Source organism: Homo sapiens, chromosome 3 (assembly GCF_000001405.40).
Source record: "Homo sapiens chromosome 3, GRCh38.p14 Primary Assembly".
Taxonomy (NCBI): domain Eukaryota; kingdom Metazoa; phylum Chordata; class Mammalia; order Primates; family Hominidae; genus Homo; species Homo sapiens.
In genome coordinates this window covers 110158751-110176671 of record NC_000003.12, presented here as the reverse complement: position 1 = coordinate 110176671, position 17921 = coordinate 110158751, and the positions used below count along the sequence as shown (strand labels likewise).

General features: G+C 35.3%; 1 annotated feature.

Moving 5' to 3' along the window:
* Nucleotides 10239-11015: an enhancer, noted in NCBI's record as "OCT4-NANOG-H3K27ac hESC enhancer chr3:109884504-109885280 (GRCh37/hg19 assembly coordinates)". NCBI's record gives its function as "activates a minimal SCP1, AML or CMV promoter by ChIP-STARR-seq in naive H9 embryonic stem cells {active_cell/tissue: H9 hESC(naive)}" and the evidence as "EXISTENCE:reporter gene assay evidence [ECO:0000049][PMID:30033119]".

Below are 17921 nucleotides of genomic sequence, written 5' to 3'. Positions count from 1 at the left end.
CAGCAGCCCAAATTGACTAATATATAGATTTTTTAAAAGTTTACCAGCAGATGCATGAATGCAAGCACATAAAATATAAAACATGCAAATTAAATAACATAACAAAATATTAATCTGCAAAATGAAGTAAAGTATATTCCTATGCTTTGTTGTTTTAATAATAGGGACTATTTTCATGTACTTTATATCACATTAGTAGTAGAAAACCAACAACTCAATAGATGTAGAAAAATTTTAGTGAATGCAATTTGACATTATTCTTAATCAAAACCAACTAATAATCTAAAAGTATTTTTTAATTGTAATAATGAAATATTTTCAAAATGCATCAAAGAAGTACTCACAATTTGTAAAATGCTCCTGGCATACAACAGGGCCCTAAAAAAGACCAAGTGCTATAAAACACATTTTATATATTTAGCATCATAGAATTTAGGAGATTATTTTATTTAGGAGCTTGCAATAGGAAAACATTCATTAAGAAGGAATGCCTCAAATAAAGGAAAGAGACCTGAGATTAAATAGACACAGGTAGACCAATGAGTCATGTGTAAGACTTATGGGATTTGCAACAAAGGTTAGAGATGGTTCTTTTATCTGAGACATTCTGGAAAGGTGGAGGCAGATCTTATCTTAGAATACATAAGAACAGCGTGGTCCTTGTGATGACAGTTTCCTAGAACACAAAAGAGTGGAGAAATTTCTTAATCATTGATATTTTCTGGAAGCACAGGGCTCAGATGAAGTTCAACATTGTCAATGTCTTACCTGGAACATTACATGACTATGCGACTAAAGTTATCTACCATGAGCTTGGCATTATAAGATCCATCAGATCGTGTAACCAGATAGCCACAGTGACCACTGAAAATGCAAATGGTATATTTTGAATTGGGTCTAATAAGCTCCAAACTTACAAGTAAGTTGTATATATGGGTGGCTCAAATTCTCATGTTACCTAGTTCTATTGTATCTATGCTTCTTCCTCAAGTCAAATTGTGATCTTATGAAGACATTCATATGATCAACTTGCAAAGAAGGAAAAAAAATCAGGACTGGTTAAAATATAAGTGTACTATATTGTTCTAATTATTGACTAATACATATAATTTTTTAAAAATTTATTGGCAGATGCATGAATGCAAGCACATAGATACATTTATCTGTCTAAATAATACACTTTAATATATTAAATTATGTTATTTATATATTATATAATACTATATATTCTATATTCTATTATATATTATTTCTGTCATTACAGATCTCCTCAGTGCTTGTCTTAATGACAATTGTAAGGGAAGAGCCTTCCAGTAGCAAGACTTGATTATCACATGGAGAAAAGTGGCTTGAAGTATGAGTATATACAGGCTCCTCAGCAGGAGGGAGTGGCTTTTGCTGATTGATCAAGGTTCTAGAAGGTATAATATTTGAAAACCAGGGACAAGAAGCTCTCAAGAAAATGTATATGGACACATCTATGAGAAAAGCCAGAGAGCAGGTGACTATTAATGAGTCTATAACATGGAAGAAATTCTAAAAATATTTTAGATTACTAGAATGACTCATCTTATGGATGTAAGTCTATTTCTGCTCAGTCATCTATTTCTGTTCAGTGCTGATTCAGTGAACAGAGCAACCCTGGAAACAAAGGCAGAAAACGTATATGAATCCACCATGATTAGTTCTCTTTAAACTCAGATCCCTGATGAGTTAATCACACCTCCGAATGACCAACTTTGTGCCCTAGAGACTAATGCTGAACAATTTATATAGCATCATTCCTAAATACACAATCATTTCTTTGGTGGCAATTAAATCATATTGGACCATTTCTTAGAGGGAACAGGTGATATTTGAATTACCTCTTACCATGGATATGGGCTTGTTTTTCCTGTCCACAGTGCAACTGCTAGCATTACTAACAGCACAAATAATCATGAATTTACATCATAGCTGGTCTATTAAAATGATATTCCACACAATATTCCTGCAAAGGATTATGCACATTTATAAAAAATGAGGAGCCATAATGGGTGTACAGCCATGGGATACACCAATCTTATCATACAACCTATTAATCAGAAGTAGTTGACCAATGGTATGGTTTGTTAAAGGCTCAGACAGTGCATCAGATTAGGGATTATACTCTCCAGATTAGAGCACTGCTTTTCAGGATGCAGTATATGCATTGGACTATCAGCTGATATATGGTATTTTGTGCTCTATAGATTGAATGTGTGGACCAAGAGGTGGAAGTAGGATTGGCTCTATTACTTTTACTTCTGGTGAACCAAATATACAATTTGTTTTCAATTACCTTTCAATTACCTAATTTCAATTACCTTAGGCTCTGCTTGTTTACAAGTGGTGGTTTTCAGCAGAAATAACTCAGCTAAAATACATAGTAAGGGCTCCACTGAACTTGAAGTTGTAACTGCTCCCTGGTCTTTTGGGACTCTTCATGTTACTGGTACTAACTGTACTAGCAGGCAGAGGAAGTAGTTACTTCTAGCCATCATCAGGAAATAAGTTTACTTCTATGAAATGGGAGTAGGGAAGGTTATGCCTAGAATACAAGAAATTCATTGGGAAATGGCTTGGTCTTTCTGTGCCCAGTGATTAAAGTAAATAGCCCAAGAGGCCAGCAAATTAAGGATTCAAATCCTTGGGAGTAGCCTTCTAGTTCTAGTAGAACAGTAGTTCTAGAGGCAAACAAGCAATTCAGGCCAGCTGTGGTGCTGGTCTAAGACGAGGGAAATATAGAGTCATAATACAGAAGGAAAATGAATATCAATTACAATATTTGGACCAGCTGCAGCAACAGAAATTATTTTGTTTTACCTTACCTCTCTGTCCAGCTGTCATTATGGTGACAACACACATGTTCTCTCTGCTCAATGCCTTTTCTTCTTGATGTTCATTCCCACACACCATTCAAGTCTGCTCAAATGTTACCCTCTTAATGGTGTCTTCCTGATTGTTTTAAATTACATTTTTTCCTACTCTTCAGTTCTTCTGTCCCCTCTTTTCCTGCTGTACATCATACTTAGCAATTTTAAATAAAATTACTTGCATATTTATAAATTTGTGCATTAATTACTTATATATATATTTGTTGTTTATCTTTCTCCTCATATGTAAAATTCACACGGTCAGGAATTTCTGAGTTTTTTTTCACTATCGTATCCCTATCACCCATAAGAGTTCCTGGCTCATAGCAAATATTTAATAAGTATTTATAAAACAGATGAATTAATTTACTTTATATTTTGGATGATGACTCCTAAATCTACATCTTCAACCTACGCTTCCAAATTTGTCTCTTACTCCATGCTTTCAGGTTACATAGAGGCCAGAGGTAACATTGTGTATAAGCAGAGGTGGCAGGAAGTCTTATGGCATAATTTTAGTGCAGAATTGAAGACTCTTTTTTCTCATATGCCAAAGAATACCCCCCTTAGCGTGATTACTAATATTTCACATTTTTTTTACAGGGAGTAATGATAAGGTTAAAATATATATAGTATTGGAAGAAGTAAGTATTTATACAAATCTATTCCCTCTGTATTGAAAGGGTTTATATTAAGTAAAATTAAAGATGGGAAACCTAGGGACCCTAAGTAGCAGAGACTGCAGTAAAATTGTAAGAAAGAGTATTTTTAAGTGAGGGTTAGATACTAAAAAGCAAATCCTACCTTTAAGTTGTTTAGCAAGCCACTGTGGTTTTCTCAAGCTTACCACTCTTGCCCTAAAGTTTTATTACTTTATATTTATACCACTACATCTTTCTATCAACTTAATTCCTTCATACACCTTCTCAGTTTCAGTCAGTGGACTATCATTTTTTTATCCTTCTGAGCCAGGAAATTTTTCAGATCTTCTCTCTTCTTTGTTCACCATATACAAGTCAGTCATCTAGTTTTGTCAACTCTTACGTCAGGATCTTTAACAGTGAAATCAAGACTCCATAAAGTGTAGACTACACCTGCCCTGCCATTTACTGTGTGGAGATTATGTTAAAAAATGAATTATCCTTTGCTTGACTCTAACCCCTGTGTTTCTTGCCATTGCACTTATATAGCCTCCTCCACAAAATGTCCATAAAATTTGTATCTATCATTTAATATTCATCTCAAATGCCATCTCCCTCCTTGGGAAACATCAAAGTGATGACATTTCTTCCTACCTTAAACTTCTTCCCTAGGTCTCTCTATTGGCGTTTTATCTCTTGACTCCCTTGACTTACATCATTTTCTTTTAATGTTATCTCTGCACTTACTTTCCCATCATTACACGAAGAGTGTCTAAATCGCCGAGACTGCTCTTTAAATCCCCAACAATCCTCACAAGCATCTATTAAACAAGAATGAATAATGTCACTCCAGGTATAATTTATCCTCCACTTTTTTCCTCAATGTATCTCTGGATCTCATTGATGCTGCCTCTAGGATAAATTTTTATACCTCTCATCATGTCCTCCGATTCACTGGCTCTCACTAATTTGCTTCAGTTAACTAGTTCAATCTTATTTTCTATTGAAGTATTTCCCCAATTACTTCAATATTCAAATAGTTAAGTTTCTTAGACAATTGTAGAGAGAGAATTATGTATGGACAGAACTTAGGACCAGAGACAAAAACGGAAAGTGAAAATAAAGGTGTTCTCTCCACCTCTCAGAGTCTTTATAGTCTTGTCTCTATTTTTATCCTTTTCTCTCTTGATTGTCATACTCTTGTGTTCCAGCTGAGTATCCAACAAACATCTATGTATTCTTCAAACTCCATGCATGCACTTCAATTTTTATGTTAATTCTATTTATTATTTCTAAAGGAAATTTAATTAGCTTAGCCCAGGACAAGGGGTTTCTTTCCAGGGACCAGAGAGGCCCTTGGTACAATCAGCTGAGACCAGAGTGAAGAGGTGAGGGTGCAAATACACTTCAAAACAGGATTGTGGACAAGGAAGGCAAGACAAAACACTAAATATTTCATTTTTATTTTATTTTTCTAGAAAGCTAAATGTAACTAGGAAATAATAATTTATGCAGAACAAGTCAGGATAAAAATATGGCTTTCATTAGATTTTTAAAAATAACTGGAGACCTCATTATGATTTTATTACCATCATTTAACTAGAACCCCAGTCACAGAATCATTGATTTTAATGCTCATTTGGATACTTTATCAGTGTGTTTCCTTGACAAGAAGACATCAGAATAAAATTACTCATGCAAGAGATTTACTGGATGAAATGCCTATAAAGAATAAAGGAGGAAGGAGCAGAAGTGAGAGGGGGCTTCAGATTCCAATGCAGGCTGAAGACCTGACATAGATGGAATGTATCCTCCCCAGTTCAGGCATTGAAAACAACCCTTAATGCAACAGTCTCAGGAGGCAGAACCTAATATAACATGTTTAGGTCAGGAGGGCTCTACCATCATGAATGGATTAATGCTGTTATGGCAGGAGTGGGTTTGTTATAAAAGTAAGCTTGGCTCTCTCATGCCTTCTCTCTCCTGTTCTCTGTCACGCTGTTGCCTTCCACTACAGGATCATGTGACAAGGCGGTCCTCATCAGATGTGGTCACTGAATTTTGAACTTTTCAGCCTCCAGAACCATAAGCCAAATAAACTTCTGTTGTTTGTAATAACCCAGTCTGTGGTATTCTGTTATAGCAGCTTAAAACCAACTAAGATGGCACCTGTGAAAGGAAAGAAGAAGAAAGGAGGATTGGGGAAGAGCCTCTGTCTGTAGTGATGCTCTGAGAAAGCTGTGACATGCCTGATGGGAAGCCCCAGATCAAAACTTGCCTATTAGATGAGTGACACATTAGGCAAGAGTGGAATGCCTGGTGTACCCCCGCCGTGCAGTGATTAGGTGGAAGAAGCCTGAGGAGAGAAAAGTCTCAGTGTGAATGGCGCATCTAACTATACTCCTTTCAGCAGGTTTTCTCATGAAAGATCAGAGCAGTGCATTCCCATGGCTTCCTGAGCCACTGACTTGTCCTGTTCTCTGTGATATCTTCTTCCCAACAAAATGTAAGCACCACAAAATAAAGTAACATGCATCTTTCTACTGACTATGCCTAACCCAATGTGAGGACAGCAAGCTTGTGACTGTACTTGCTAAAAGGTTACATTTAAGAGATGGTTTGATAGGATAGAGTGTGTTTTGCTAACTTTGAAAGAAATTTAATTATTTTTTAAAATTAATAGATCCCAGCAGTTTTAGATTCACTGAAATATTTGATACACATGAGTAATGAAAACATTCAGTATGCCATACGTTCGTTTTAACAACCTGTTATTGTAGGTTAATTATACCTCATAGTTTTACTTTTCATAGTATCCTTTATCATTTTCTTCTTCACATGCAAGCTGTGATATTGAACTGTAGTGTCTCATTTTAGATTTACAGGTGACAATATTTAATCAGATAAAATGAGGAAAGCTAAAGACTTCTTCAGGTTCAGTAAATATGTAAATGGAAAAATTGAAATTAGAATTGACAACTGATGTACCTTTTAATTTTTTCCTCTCATTGATTTACATGGTCTTTGTTTTTCTGACTTTCTATTTTGAAACAAAACTGTCTGAATCTCTGTATAGGAAATATTTAAAGATCAAAAACTCCAAGGATTGAACACTCAGCGAATGTCTATTGGTCATCTTTAAGGAATTGGGTTGTCCTGGTTAGGATAAGTTGGCAGGTCAGGATCCCTTGAAAAATAAAGGAGCTGCAGAACTGCCTTAGAAAGAATTATAATTTACTTATTTGTTTCCAAACACTCTGCTAAGCAATTTATAAACATTATTGCATCCTGAAATTGCCTTATTCATATTTTATAGATGAAGGCACTGAGCTATACAAAAATTAATTCCTCAATGGTACAGAGCTAGCAAATGGCAGAAGTAAGGTTAGAACCCAACTCTATATGACTCTAAAAATGTATGCTTATTTACCACAACATCATGCTGCCTTCTTCATCTGAGATAGTTTTTTAATTGAACAATCTTGTATTTCAAAGGAATCCTTGAAGAGATGAAATGTATCAAGTTTGACTGCAAAGATTGAAGATACAGTAGAATTAAGATGTGCTAGCATTATTTCAAGCATTATGCCATCTCTAAAGGAGTAAACAAAATAAAAAGAAAATCCATGTGTATATAGTGTTTAATACATGCCAGGCTAGGTTTTATCTATTGACATACATATTTATAGTTCTCACGGTAACCTTATTAGCCTATTTGATATCTAATTTCTTCTATGCTAATCACTTCTCTGATTTTTGGTTAGCATCCCCTTATTTGGGGACCTGTTTCTCTCCTTACTTCACTCAGTACACTCCAGTGGCTACTGTCAATTATGTTATTTCATCTTCCTGGATTTATATGTAGACAATAAAAGTTGGACATTTTAATCAAAGCTCTTCCCTGGAATGTTTTCAATTAGATCTAAGATACATAAGTTCTTTCCTTTCTGGTGGAAAAGCTATAATGATAAAAAAAAAATTATCTAAGAGAAAATAGGTGAAGGGAAGGGAAGTGAAGAGAGAAATTCTGGTGGTACTGGAGTCTCTCTTTCTGGGCATCCCTGAACTCCATTCCTATCCTTGGTTCAGTTTGATTACAACAGTCAATACATTATCCTAATTGCCTAAGATTTTTTTTTATTGGGTTTCAAACTCTAAAAGACTCCTGACTATTTTGACCAAGCAATAAGGAATTCAGATCCTTAGTCTAACGTCTCACTACAGTGAGTGATAAAACGGACTGGAATCCAGGCCTATCTTTGTCTCAATATAGGCTCTCTCTTTTTTTTTTTCTTTTTATTCTTATTCCATAATGGAATGTATATGTGGGATGGTTATGGAGGGGAATTGCCAGAAAATGTGGATGCAAGTAGGGGTGGTTACAACCTTTCTTTTTTTTCAGCTAGACTTATAAGAGCAAATTAAGCGTTAATCTAATTTATCCAAACATCCATTAGACAGATAATACTTTAATTCAGGTTTTAACTAAATAAAATAGGCACAATCAGGTGAAATCCTATATATAGGTGACCTAACTCGCTTTTCATCTAAAAAAATATAGCCTTCACACATTTCCTCCAAAATATCTTTGCATACCTGCAATTTCTTTTCACACATATCTGAGCAACTATTTTCTTGATGTTCTGCTTGCTTCAAAACACAGCTATAAAAAATTTTCCCAGAGAAGGTTATAAATGCAACTCTAAGCCTAAGATCACTGGAGTCAGTTCAAGGAATGAAAGCAGAAACGCCGAAACAGGAGAGGACACATAGTAATGCACTGGGTTTTTGCACACACTTCACCTGCTTTTCTCCCAATGTTCAGGATCCTAAATCAAACCAAAATTGTGATAAAGAAATGTAAAAACATTATTAGTTAATTGAGTTCGACCAGAGTGGATTAATTACAATAAAGAGATGACAATTAATTACAATAAAAAAAAAGTTTTTTTTAAAGACTAATGAGATTAGGCCAGGTGCGGTGGCTCACACCTGTAATCCCAGCACTTTGGGAGGCCAAGGTGGGTGGGTCACCTGAGGTCAGGAGTTCGAGACCAGCCTGACCAACATGGAGAAACCCCATCTCTACTAAAAATACAAAATTAGCTGGGCATGGTGGCACACGCCTGTAATCCCAGCTACTTGGGAAGCTGAGGTGGGAGAATCGCTTGAACCTGGGACGCAGAGGTTGTGGTGAGCTGAAATCGCACCATTGCACTCCAGCCTAGGCAACAAGAGTGAAACTCCATCTCAAAAAAAAAAGACGAATGAGATTTTGGAAGTTGTTTTTTAAATTTTTTAATTTTTAATTGTTAAAGATATTTGTACATATTTATAGAGTACAGGTGATATTTTGATTCAAGCATACAATGTGTAATAATAAAATCAGGGTAATTCAGGTGTCCATTACCTCAAGCATTTATCATTTCTTTGTTTTAGGAACATTCCAATTCCATTCTTTTAGTTATTTTGAAATATAAAATAAATTATTGCTAATTATAGTAGCCCTATTGTGCTACTAAACACTAGATCTCATTTCTTCTATCTAACTGTATTTTTGTACCCATTAACTATCTCTTTTTGGGGGGGCTTTTCTTTCTGGTTTTATCTCCCTTCAAAATGTGAAGAAACACTTGGAATGTTATTCACCTTTAAAGCAGCCATTATACAGTATTTACTGTTTATAAAATTTTATGCATAATAGAAATGCAAATAGTTATCTATATGTCTATAACTGTATTTATATAGGTATAACTATACATGATCCAATCTTAACCTACCTCAAATATAAGAAAGTCTTATAAACAGTTTCAAGCCATATAATTTAAATTATTTGTTGAAGCAAATTCTAACTACTCACCTCTACTATATTAAGAGTTTATGTCTTCGTAAATGGTTATGTAGAAGAAATTAGTCAACACATGTAGTTTGGACTATTCACTAATTTGTTGATCACAAGTCTGACTCCACCCTGCTTTTGCTGCCATTCATATCTCTCACCTATTACACCTTCCAACACTTCATTTTCTTCTCAGCAGCCAGAGGGAATCATTTATAAATATTCATATGTATGATTTCGTAGTGCACACATAATTGAAATTCTTCAGTTACTTCCTGTTGCCATAAAGATGAAGTCTAATGGCCTTAAAAAAGGTTGACAAGTTCCTGAATACTCTGGCCCCTTTCTCTCAGCCTTCTTAAGAACTTTAATAAAACTATGTTCAGCAAGAATACTGTCTGCTTAAATGTGTTTCTCAATTCCAGAAGGAAATGAGAAATACCTTTAAGAAGAAACTCATGAAGGAAGAAATTTGATTTACCTTGATGTTGTATTTACTTAAAATGTTTCATGTCTTTTATATATTAGAAGATAAATATTTATGCAGATATTAGCAAAGTGACATCTTTTCTACTTTAAAATGTAAAAGTGACTTATTTGCTTGTATTCTCATACTTATGAGTTATTCAAACCTGGGATTCAGCTTACTGCATCCTAACTCAAGGAATCTACTTTTATTTAAGGCTGATGCTATAACTAAATGTATCAACCACTGTAAGAAACACAAGTCATTTAAAGCACTGGTTTTGAGACTTCATGCTGTCATTTTCAACAGAACTTTAAAACAATAGTAGCGGCATTTCATCAACCATGTAATAAACCAACAAATAAAATTTAATTTGCCGTTACCATTGTTCTTTAGAAGAAGGTTCAAATTTCAAACATTGGTAACAAATCTCAGAACAAAAGTCATTTATTTGAAGTGAGTAAAATTTCACATTATGGAAAAACTCACTATGATAAACTTTCTCTAACCCTCTCATTTGACCATTGAATAAAAAAAAAAATTAGGGAGGATTTTAGATGTTTTCACCTGAATGATTTTTAAACTCTATTTGAGAATGATTTCTCTGTGGACCTTTGTGGACCTTGCAAATCCATTCTATTCAGTATTAGTAAGTACTGTGAAAGGACAATAAATCTTGGGGCCCCCCATCACTAAGCTAAAGGAAAAAGTCAAGCTGGGAACTGCTTAGGGCCAACCTGCCTCCCATTCTATTCAAAGTCTCCTCTCTGCTCACCAAGATAAATGCACATCTGATTGCCTCCTTTGAAAAGGCTAATCAGAAACTGAAAAGAATGCAACGATTTGTCACCTATCTACCTATGACCTGGAAGCTCCCTCCCTGCTTTGAATCTTCCCGCCTTTGCTTCCAGTTGTCCCTCCTCTCCAGACCAAACCAATGTTCGTCTTGGGTGTGTTGATTGATGTCTCATGTCTCCCTAAAATGTATAAAACCAAACTGTTCTCTGACCACCTTAGGCACATGTCGTCAGGACCTCCTGAGACTGTGTCATGGGCGCGCGTTCTCAATCTTGGCGCAAAAAAAAAAAAAAAAACTTCCTAAATTAACTGAGACTTGTCTCAGATATTTGGAGTTCACAGCGTCATGGCTCAAATACCCGGAAGTAATGTTACTGTTTTGTTTTTGTTTTAATTTGGTCTCTTTTGCTTCCACGTTTGTTAGCAATTCCCCTCTCTTAAAAGCTCTGTAGTCTCTAAAGACATATGAAACCCAGAGTGCCCACAGTGCTATGCAAACAAGTAGTAGTATTTACACACTCTGTGACTGTAAGAATAAATAATAAGTTGGAACCACTATTACTAACAACAAAAGAGAGAATCACACTCTACATTCTAGTTCTGTGTACCTTTTAATATTCACAAATGACACAAACAGATGATACAGCTTAAATATGTATTTAACTTGAGAGCAAATACAAGGTTTCTGCACCAAAGATCAGTCCCATTATTTTTTAAAACAATAATGACACAAGTTTCCCATGCCCCCTTCTCTTCCTCAAGGTGACGTGATGAGGGAAGATGAACTCTGTACATATAGAGAGAGTCTCTAGGAGAAGAGAGGATCACTAAGATTATACATTTCGCAGCTTATATAGAAACAGCTGCACAGCAGCCCCTCTTTCTCTCCAGAGAGAAGAAATTCTGTTTCTAACAAACATATCCTCTCCGAGGGAGGCGAGAAAAATCCCTAGATGTTTGCAACCCTTTGGAATGTAAATAAATGGCTCCAGGGGAGATGGGTCGTAGGCCTGTTTACCATTCAAACATCTCTTAATCCTGATTCCCAGTAATTTTTGCTTAGAAAGCCCTGATTGTACAGAATATGAGATATTAGTTGTTTCTCAACAACAGATACATGATAGTCTTAGTTTACTTTCCCTGTATATTATACTTAGGTCATTTCTGAATCCCCCTGGGTTATTTTTCTATAAACAGTAACACTGTTCAGAGTCAGGCTCTCTCTACTGAGCTTCTATGCTCCTCTAAGTTAATGGAGCTGTTTCAAAGTAATAGTATTAGTATTCTACTCATTTACAAGATGCAGTTAACTTCTGACCAATGTTAGAACACCAAAATCTCAACAACAATAAAAACAACAAAACAGTTTTGTTTTGTTTTTTTAAAAAGAACGCCCAACTCTCTCTGACTCTGGCAAAATTAGAGCTTAGAACAGTTTTGCTTTTAAATTGTTCAACCTTCTTTAGACATCTCTGCAGCTAACTACCTAATTGAGCATGGAGCAATATTTTCTTAACCTACTTATTAACAAGAAACTTTTAAAAGATACCATCTGCTAGAGGTATTTCTTTTAAAAATACTCATATATAATACTAGTGAGATCGTTATAAGAGAGCCACTCTCACAGGTTGTTGATATAGTATATAAAATAATGATGGGAAATGGTTTCTGCTTGTGTGATTGTTGGCCTTTTCAATTTGTTTTTGATTTTTCATTGACAAAACTTTTTTTTTTACAGCCCAGCCAATACACACCTTTCCTTTTTGATTTCCTCAATTAATTATTTTGTTTAAAAATTATTTTCTATTGCACCAGTGTTTATAGAACATAAATTAAACTTAAAAACAGCTACGATAACATATATGGCGTATCCCTATTATCATTCTTTCTTAGAGTTTGTCTGGCTAATCTTGTTTATTTGTATATACTTTGCCAGGCTCACATAATGATTTCAAAAGTGTTTTGACTAGAATTTAAAGAAAACTTGGAATAAGGAATGTCACATAACTGCAATGTTTTGAGTCAAGAGATGTAGGGAACTTTTAAACTTTGCTAAAAGAAATATGCTATTTGACAGAGGGGAAAAAAGCTTAAAAGAAAAGTTTGTTTACTCTTCCCACGCCAATTATATGTTACTGTCATTCTGTGCTATCTCATTTTTTAGTTCAGGTAACACTGATTTGTTCAATTGCAGATACTTAGCATGCAGTTGTACATGCTAAACTTAGGAAAGATGATGGCAATGCTGAATGTGTAGATCTGAGAGTCATCAGAAATGATCATTGAAGCAGATAACTTCCTCAAGAGACAATAACTAAACAGTCTAGACAAAGAAGAGCAAAAAGCTGAAGTTTTGATCTTAAGGCACCCTTAAATTTAGAAAGCTAGGGAAGGACTCAAGCTCAAGGAATTTAGGTTGGACGTGAGGAGATGAGCCCAAAGCAGAAGAAGTGGGAGGAAAGAGTTACAAAAATAGATAAAAGATTGGAGAGTATTTAAATTTAGAAAGCTAGAGAAGGACTCAGAGAAAAACAGGGTAGTAAGCTCACTAGGCCGAAATGTTGCAAAGTGATTAAGGAAACATAGAGCTCCACGGGAGCTAACAGTTTCTAAATGAAAGGACATGATAGATATAATTATGTCATTTCAAGTATTTGATCTTAATTATTTTACAACACTATCCTGTAAAAACTGATATGAAATTTGCATCTTATGCATATCTCCTACTTAAATCCCTCTCTTATCTTTTTAGAATAATACAACATATAATTAGTAGCATATTAGCAGTTAAATTCTGCCATTTCAAGGATGCATAATTTTCAACTCTTTAGAAAATCTCTAGCCAAAATTCACAGGAAATGGAACATGTGGATTCCTTTTGTAATTAAAGACATTTTGTATGTATAACCAGTCTCCTAGAACAGCGGTCCCCAACCTTTTTGGCACCAGGGACTGGTTTCATGGAAGAAAATTTTTTCACTGTAAAGTGGGGGACAGGCAGGAGGGGGTACCAGGGGAATGGTTTGATGATGAAACTGTTCCACCTCAGATCACCAGGAGTTAGTAGATTCTCATAAGGAGTGTGGCAACCTAGATCCCTTGCATGCGCCATTCACAGTAGGGTTCGCGCTCCTATGAGAATCTAATGCTGCTGCTGATCTGACAGGAGGCAGAGGTCAGGCAGTAATGCCCACTCCCCTGCTGCTCACCTCCTACTGTACAGCCCAGTTCCTAACAGGCCACAAACGGGTACTGGTCTTTGGCCTGAGGATTGGGGACCCCTGTCCTAGAATAGAAAATTGTATAATTACTTTCCTCATACTAGAGGAAAAGCTAGCAAGCCTATTCTTTTTTTTTTTTTTTTTTTTTTTTTTTGAGAGAGTCTCGCTCTGTCGCCCAGGCTGGAGTGCAGTGGCGCCATCTAGGCTCACTGAAAGCTCTGCCCCCCAGGTTCACGCCATTCTCCTGCCTCAGCCTCCCAAGTAGCTGGGACTACAGGCACCCGCCACCACGCCCAGCTAATTTTTTGTCTTTTTTTTTTTCAGTAGAGAGGGGGTTTCACCATGTTAGCCAGGATGGTCTCGATATCCTGACCTCGTGATCTGCCCGCCTCGGCCTCCCAAAGCGCTGGGATTACAGGCATGAGCCACCGCGCCCGGCCAATAAGCCCGTTCTTAACTCAAAGTTAACCCTTGTGCCAGACAAGTAGTCTGTACAGAACTGTGGGCAATTTGTTGCAAAGACATCAGATCATCATCTTTGCAATAAGAGGAGGTTGCAAACAATGGAGCTATTGGACAATGCTAAATAAAACACAACAAATGGTGTTCAGGACTGGATAACTGATACTTCCTGTAGTAGAACGTTGCCAGCTTTCACTTCTCATTCAGCAACTGACACCATATCAAGCACACCTGACAATGTCAAGAACTGATATTTATGGAATTGGAGTTGTCAATGTGAATTTACTGTTGAAAAAAATCACATCAGTGTCTTTGCAGTCTTTCATTTGTTTTATTTTATTAAAGATTTTTAAAAAGCTTTTTATTATATGTCACCAAATTCTAGTTGTATATGGGGTACAAAGTGATATTATGATTTTTAATAAATGTAAAATGATTAAATCAAGCCAATTAACATATCTATTATCTCAAATATTTACCATCTTTTGTGATGAGAGCATTTGAAATATACTCTCTTAGTACTGAAATGTACAGTACTAAATTATTCTCTATTCGCCATGCTGGGCAACTGAACTAAAAAAAAAATTGAAGTTATTTCTCCTATCTAAGTGAGGTTTTTTAACATTTAAAGCAAAAGTACTTTAGGGGGCTTCAGATAAATATCTGGAAATATCATATGCTTCCCACAAAATTCTTTGTCACCTTAGTTAGGTGAATGTGATGAGTATCTTATGAAAAGGCAACCAATCATCCCCAACTCCTGAGAGTGTGCTCGTTTGTAATCCTATCCTCTTTTGTGTGAACTGAACCAAGTGATTTGCTTCTGAAGTAAAAGATATGGGATGTCACTTCTGGAATTAAGCCATAAAAAAATGTCATTTCCATCTTGTTCACAATCTCTATCTCTTTGGCATTTCTTACTCTTTTGATCTGATGAAACAAGCTTCCATGTTGTGAGCTGCCCTGTAGAGGAACCCACTAGGAAAGGAGCTGAGGGTAGCATCAGACAACAGCCAGCAAAGAATGGAGACCCTCAGTCCAGTTTCTGAGAAATTGAAACCTGGCAAAACTGCATGACTGAGCTTTGAAGTATCTATAGATTCATCCCTAATGAGAGTGCGGTTCCAGCCAAGACCTTGAATGCAGCCTTGTGAGAGAATTTAATGCAGAGGACTCTGCTAAGCCACTCCCAGTTTCCTGACCTACAGATAATTTGAAGTAATAAATGAATATTGATGTAAGCCATTAATATTTGGGCTAATACAAGAAATATGCTTACTTAGGTTATGGTCTATAGATTACTATCAATTTTTTAAAATGCAGCTCATCTCTAGAATAGTCATTCTCAACAATAAGGACAAGAACATCAACAACAAAAGACAAAAGTTATTTTAATCAATCTTCCCTGAATGATCCAAGAACTATTCTTCACAGTAATAATTCAAGGTGTAGCTAATCTCTCACTCGTCTATAAGCTATCTTTGACACAATTTTTTTCTGACTTTCCATTGTATTAACAGTATCAAAATTATAAAATGTGTTACAAGTTACTTAAATCAATGAGAAATTTCTAGATACCAAATAGCTGAATTGTCTTCATTCTATGACCTAGAGAAAGGCATTTTTTTTCCATCCATAAATTTCAACGTTTAAATATTGAGGAAGTTGAATCTCCTCGATCTTTGTTATCTAACACAGCCATCACTAGCCACTTATTACTATTTGAATTTAAATGTAAATTAACTAAAATTAAATAATTTTTTAAAATTTAGATCCTTAGTCATCCTAGACATATTTCAAGTGCTCAGTAGTCATATGTCACTAGGGGTTATCATAGTGGGCAGCACAAATATAAGACATTTATATTATACCAGAGAGTTTCATTGGGAAGTGCTATCCTAGGTAATCACTAAAAAACTAAATTATATATCTAATGATAAGTACTCCATAAGTATCTGTTACATAAGTATTTATCCATAAGGTTTGGACTGGAACCTATACATATTTTTACTACTAGTGATAAGTACTGCTCACTTGGTCACATTACTTTTTAAATAGTTCTTATTTTTCAGCTGTTGGAATGTTTTAATATTTAATAATTTCACAGTAGTTTTAGAGGTTAGCTGTTACTAATAGCAAGAGTTAATAGCTATTGCTATTTAAAGTTCTGTGCTTTGAGAAAAAATTATTTCAAATAGGCAGCATAGAATTCGTTACAATATAATTGGACTCTCAGTAGTTGTTCTATTGAGTAATCTGCTATTGTTTACACATAATTTGAAGTATAGGTCAAATTTATCCTTGACAATTAAGTACAGTTTTTCAATGTTGTGTTGTAATTGCCAGTGACTTGTAGTATACTTGTTCTTGCTTAAATAAAGTAGCACTTTTTGTTCGATGAATTTATTTCCAGTCATTCAAAAATTTTATTTTCAGTGGTTACCATGTAGCAATCCATGAGACTTAAATAGTATCACAAACAATGTAATTACATTAAGCATTTCATATGCCAGTGATATATTTGTAGACACAGAAAGACGTGGTGGTGTTAGAATTTTTAAAACATAATTTTAGTTACTTTCAAAAATTGCAAAATACAGCCTTTTTCTTTTAATTTACTGGTAAAATATCAGCCCAGCCTACCATCCCTTTCTGCATGGACTATAGCAATAACCTAGTAATAGCTTCAATTGCATCTCTGCCAAATTATGACCAAAGATTCCTTTTTAAAATGCATATATGATTGTGTCAAACCTTACATAAAACTCTGATGGCTTTCCATTGTTCTTGAAATAAAAACAAACATTTAACATAGCCAAGAATGCCCAGAATGGTTGGATCTTTACTTCTATCTTTTAGTCCATCTGATACCACCCTTGCTTTCCCTCTTTTCACCCCAGCCCAATGGCCATCTTTCAGATGTCTGTACTTGCTGTGCTTCCTCTCAATGAAGTAGGCAACTTGAAAATGTTCTCTTCCATACCCATTATGCTGTTCTCTTCCCCTCTCCACATTGTAAACTCTTATTCATCCTTCAGATCTTGCCACAAGTATTACTTTCTCAGAGAAACTCTTCCAGAACTCACTGACAAAGATAAATCTTGTTTTAGATTTTATAACATAACAAGCCTCTCCATTAGGACCATTAACACATTCTTCCTAAAGACTGTCACTAATTGAGATTTTGCATTGGATCAGGTACTTTTAAACAAACAAACAAAAGTAGGCCATACATGGACCGGTGGTGAATATATGCCTTGAAAAGGAGATTATCATTAATCTATTATTCAATTCTGGATAATAGAAGAAAAATATAGACTATATTTCTTACCTAGGTTACTTAGATTGGCATTAAATTAAGTGCACCCATGTCCCAAAGTCATAGGTGAAAATGAGTGGAGCAGGCAGAGTACGTCCTTTCCCTGAGAATGGATTTAGACTAAAAATGTTGTTAAAAAAATAAGGTCACATATTCATTTGGTTATTGCTAAAATAAAAAACATTGAAGAAAACATCACTATGAGACACTTAGAAAAGTTAAACAAAAGAAGATATGTTGTCTGTAAGATTTCCTATTCCAGCAAGCCATGGTACAGACTC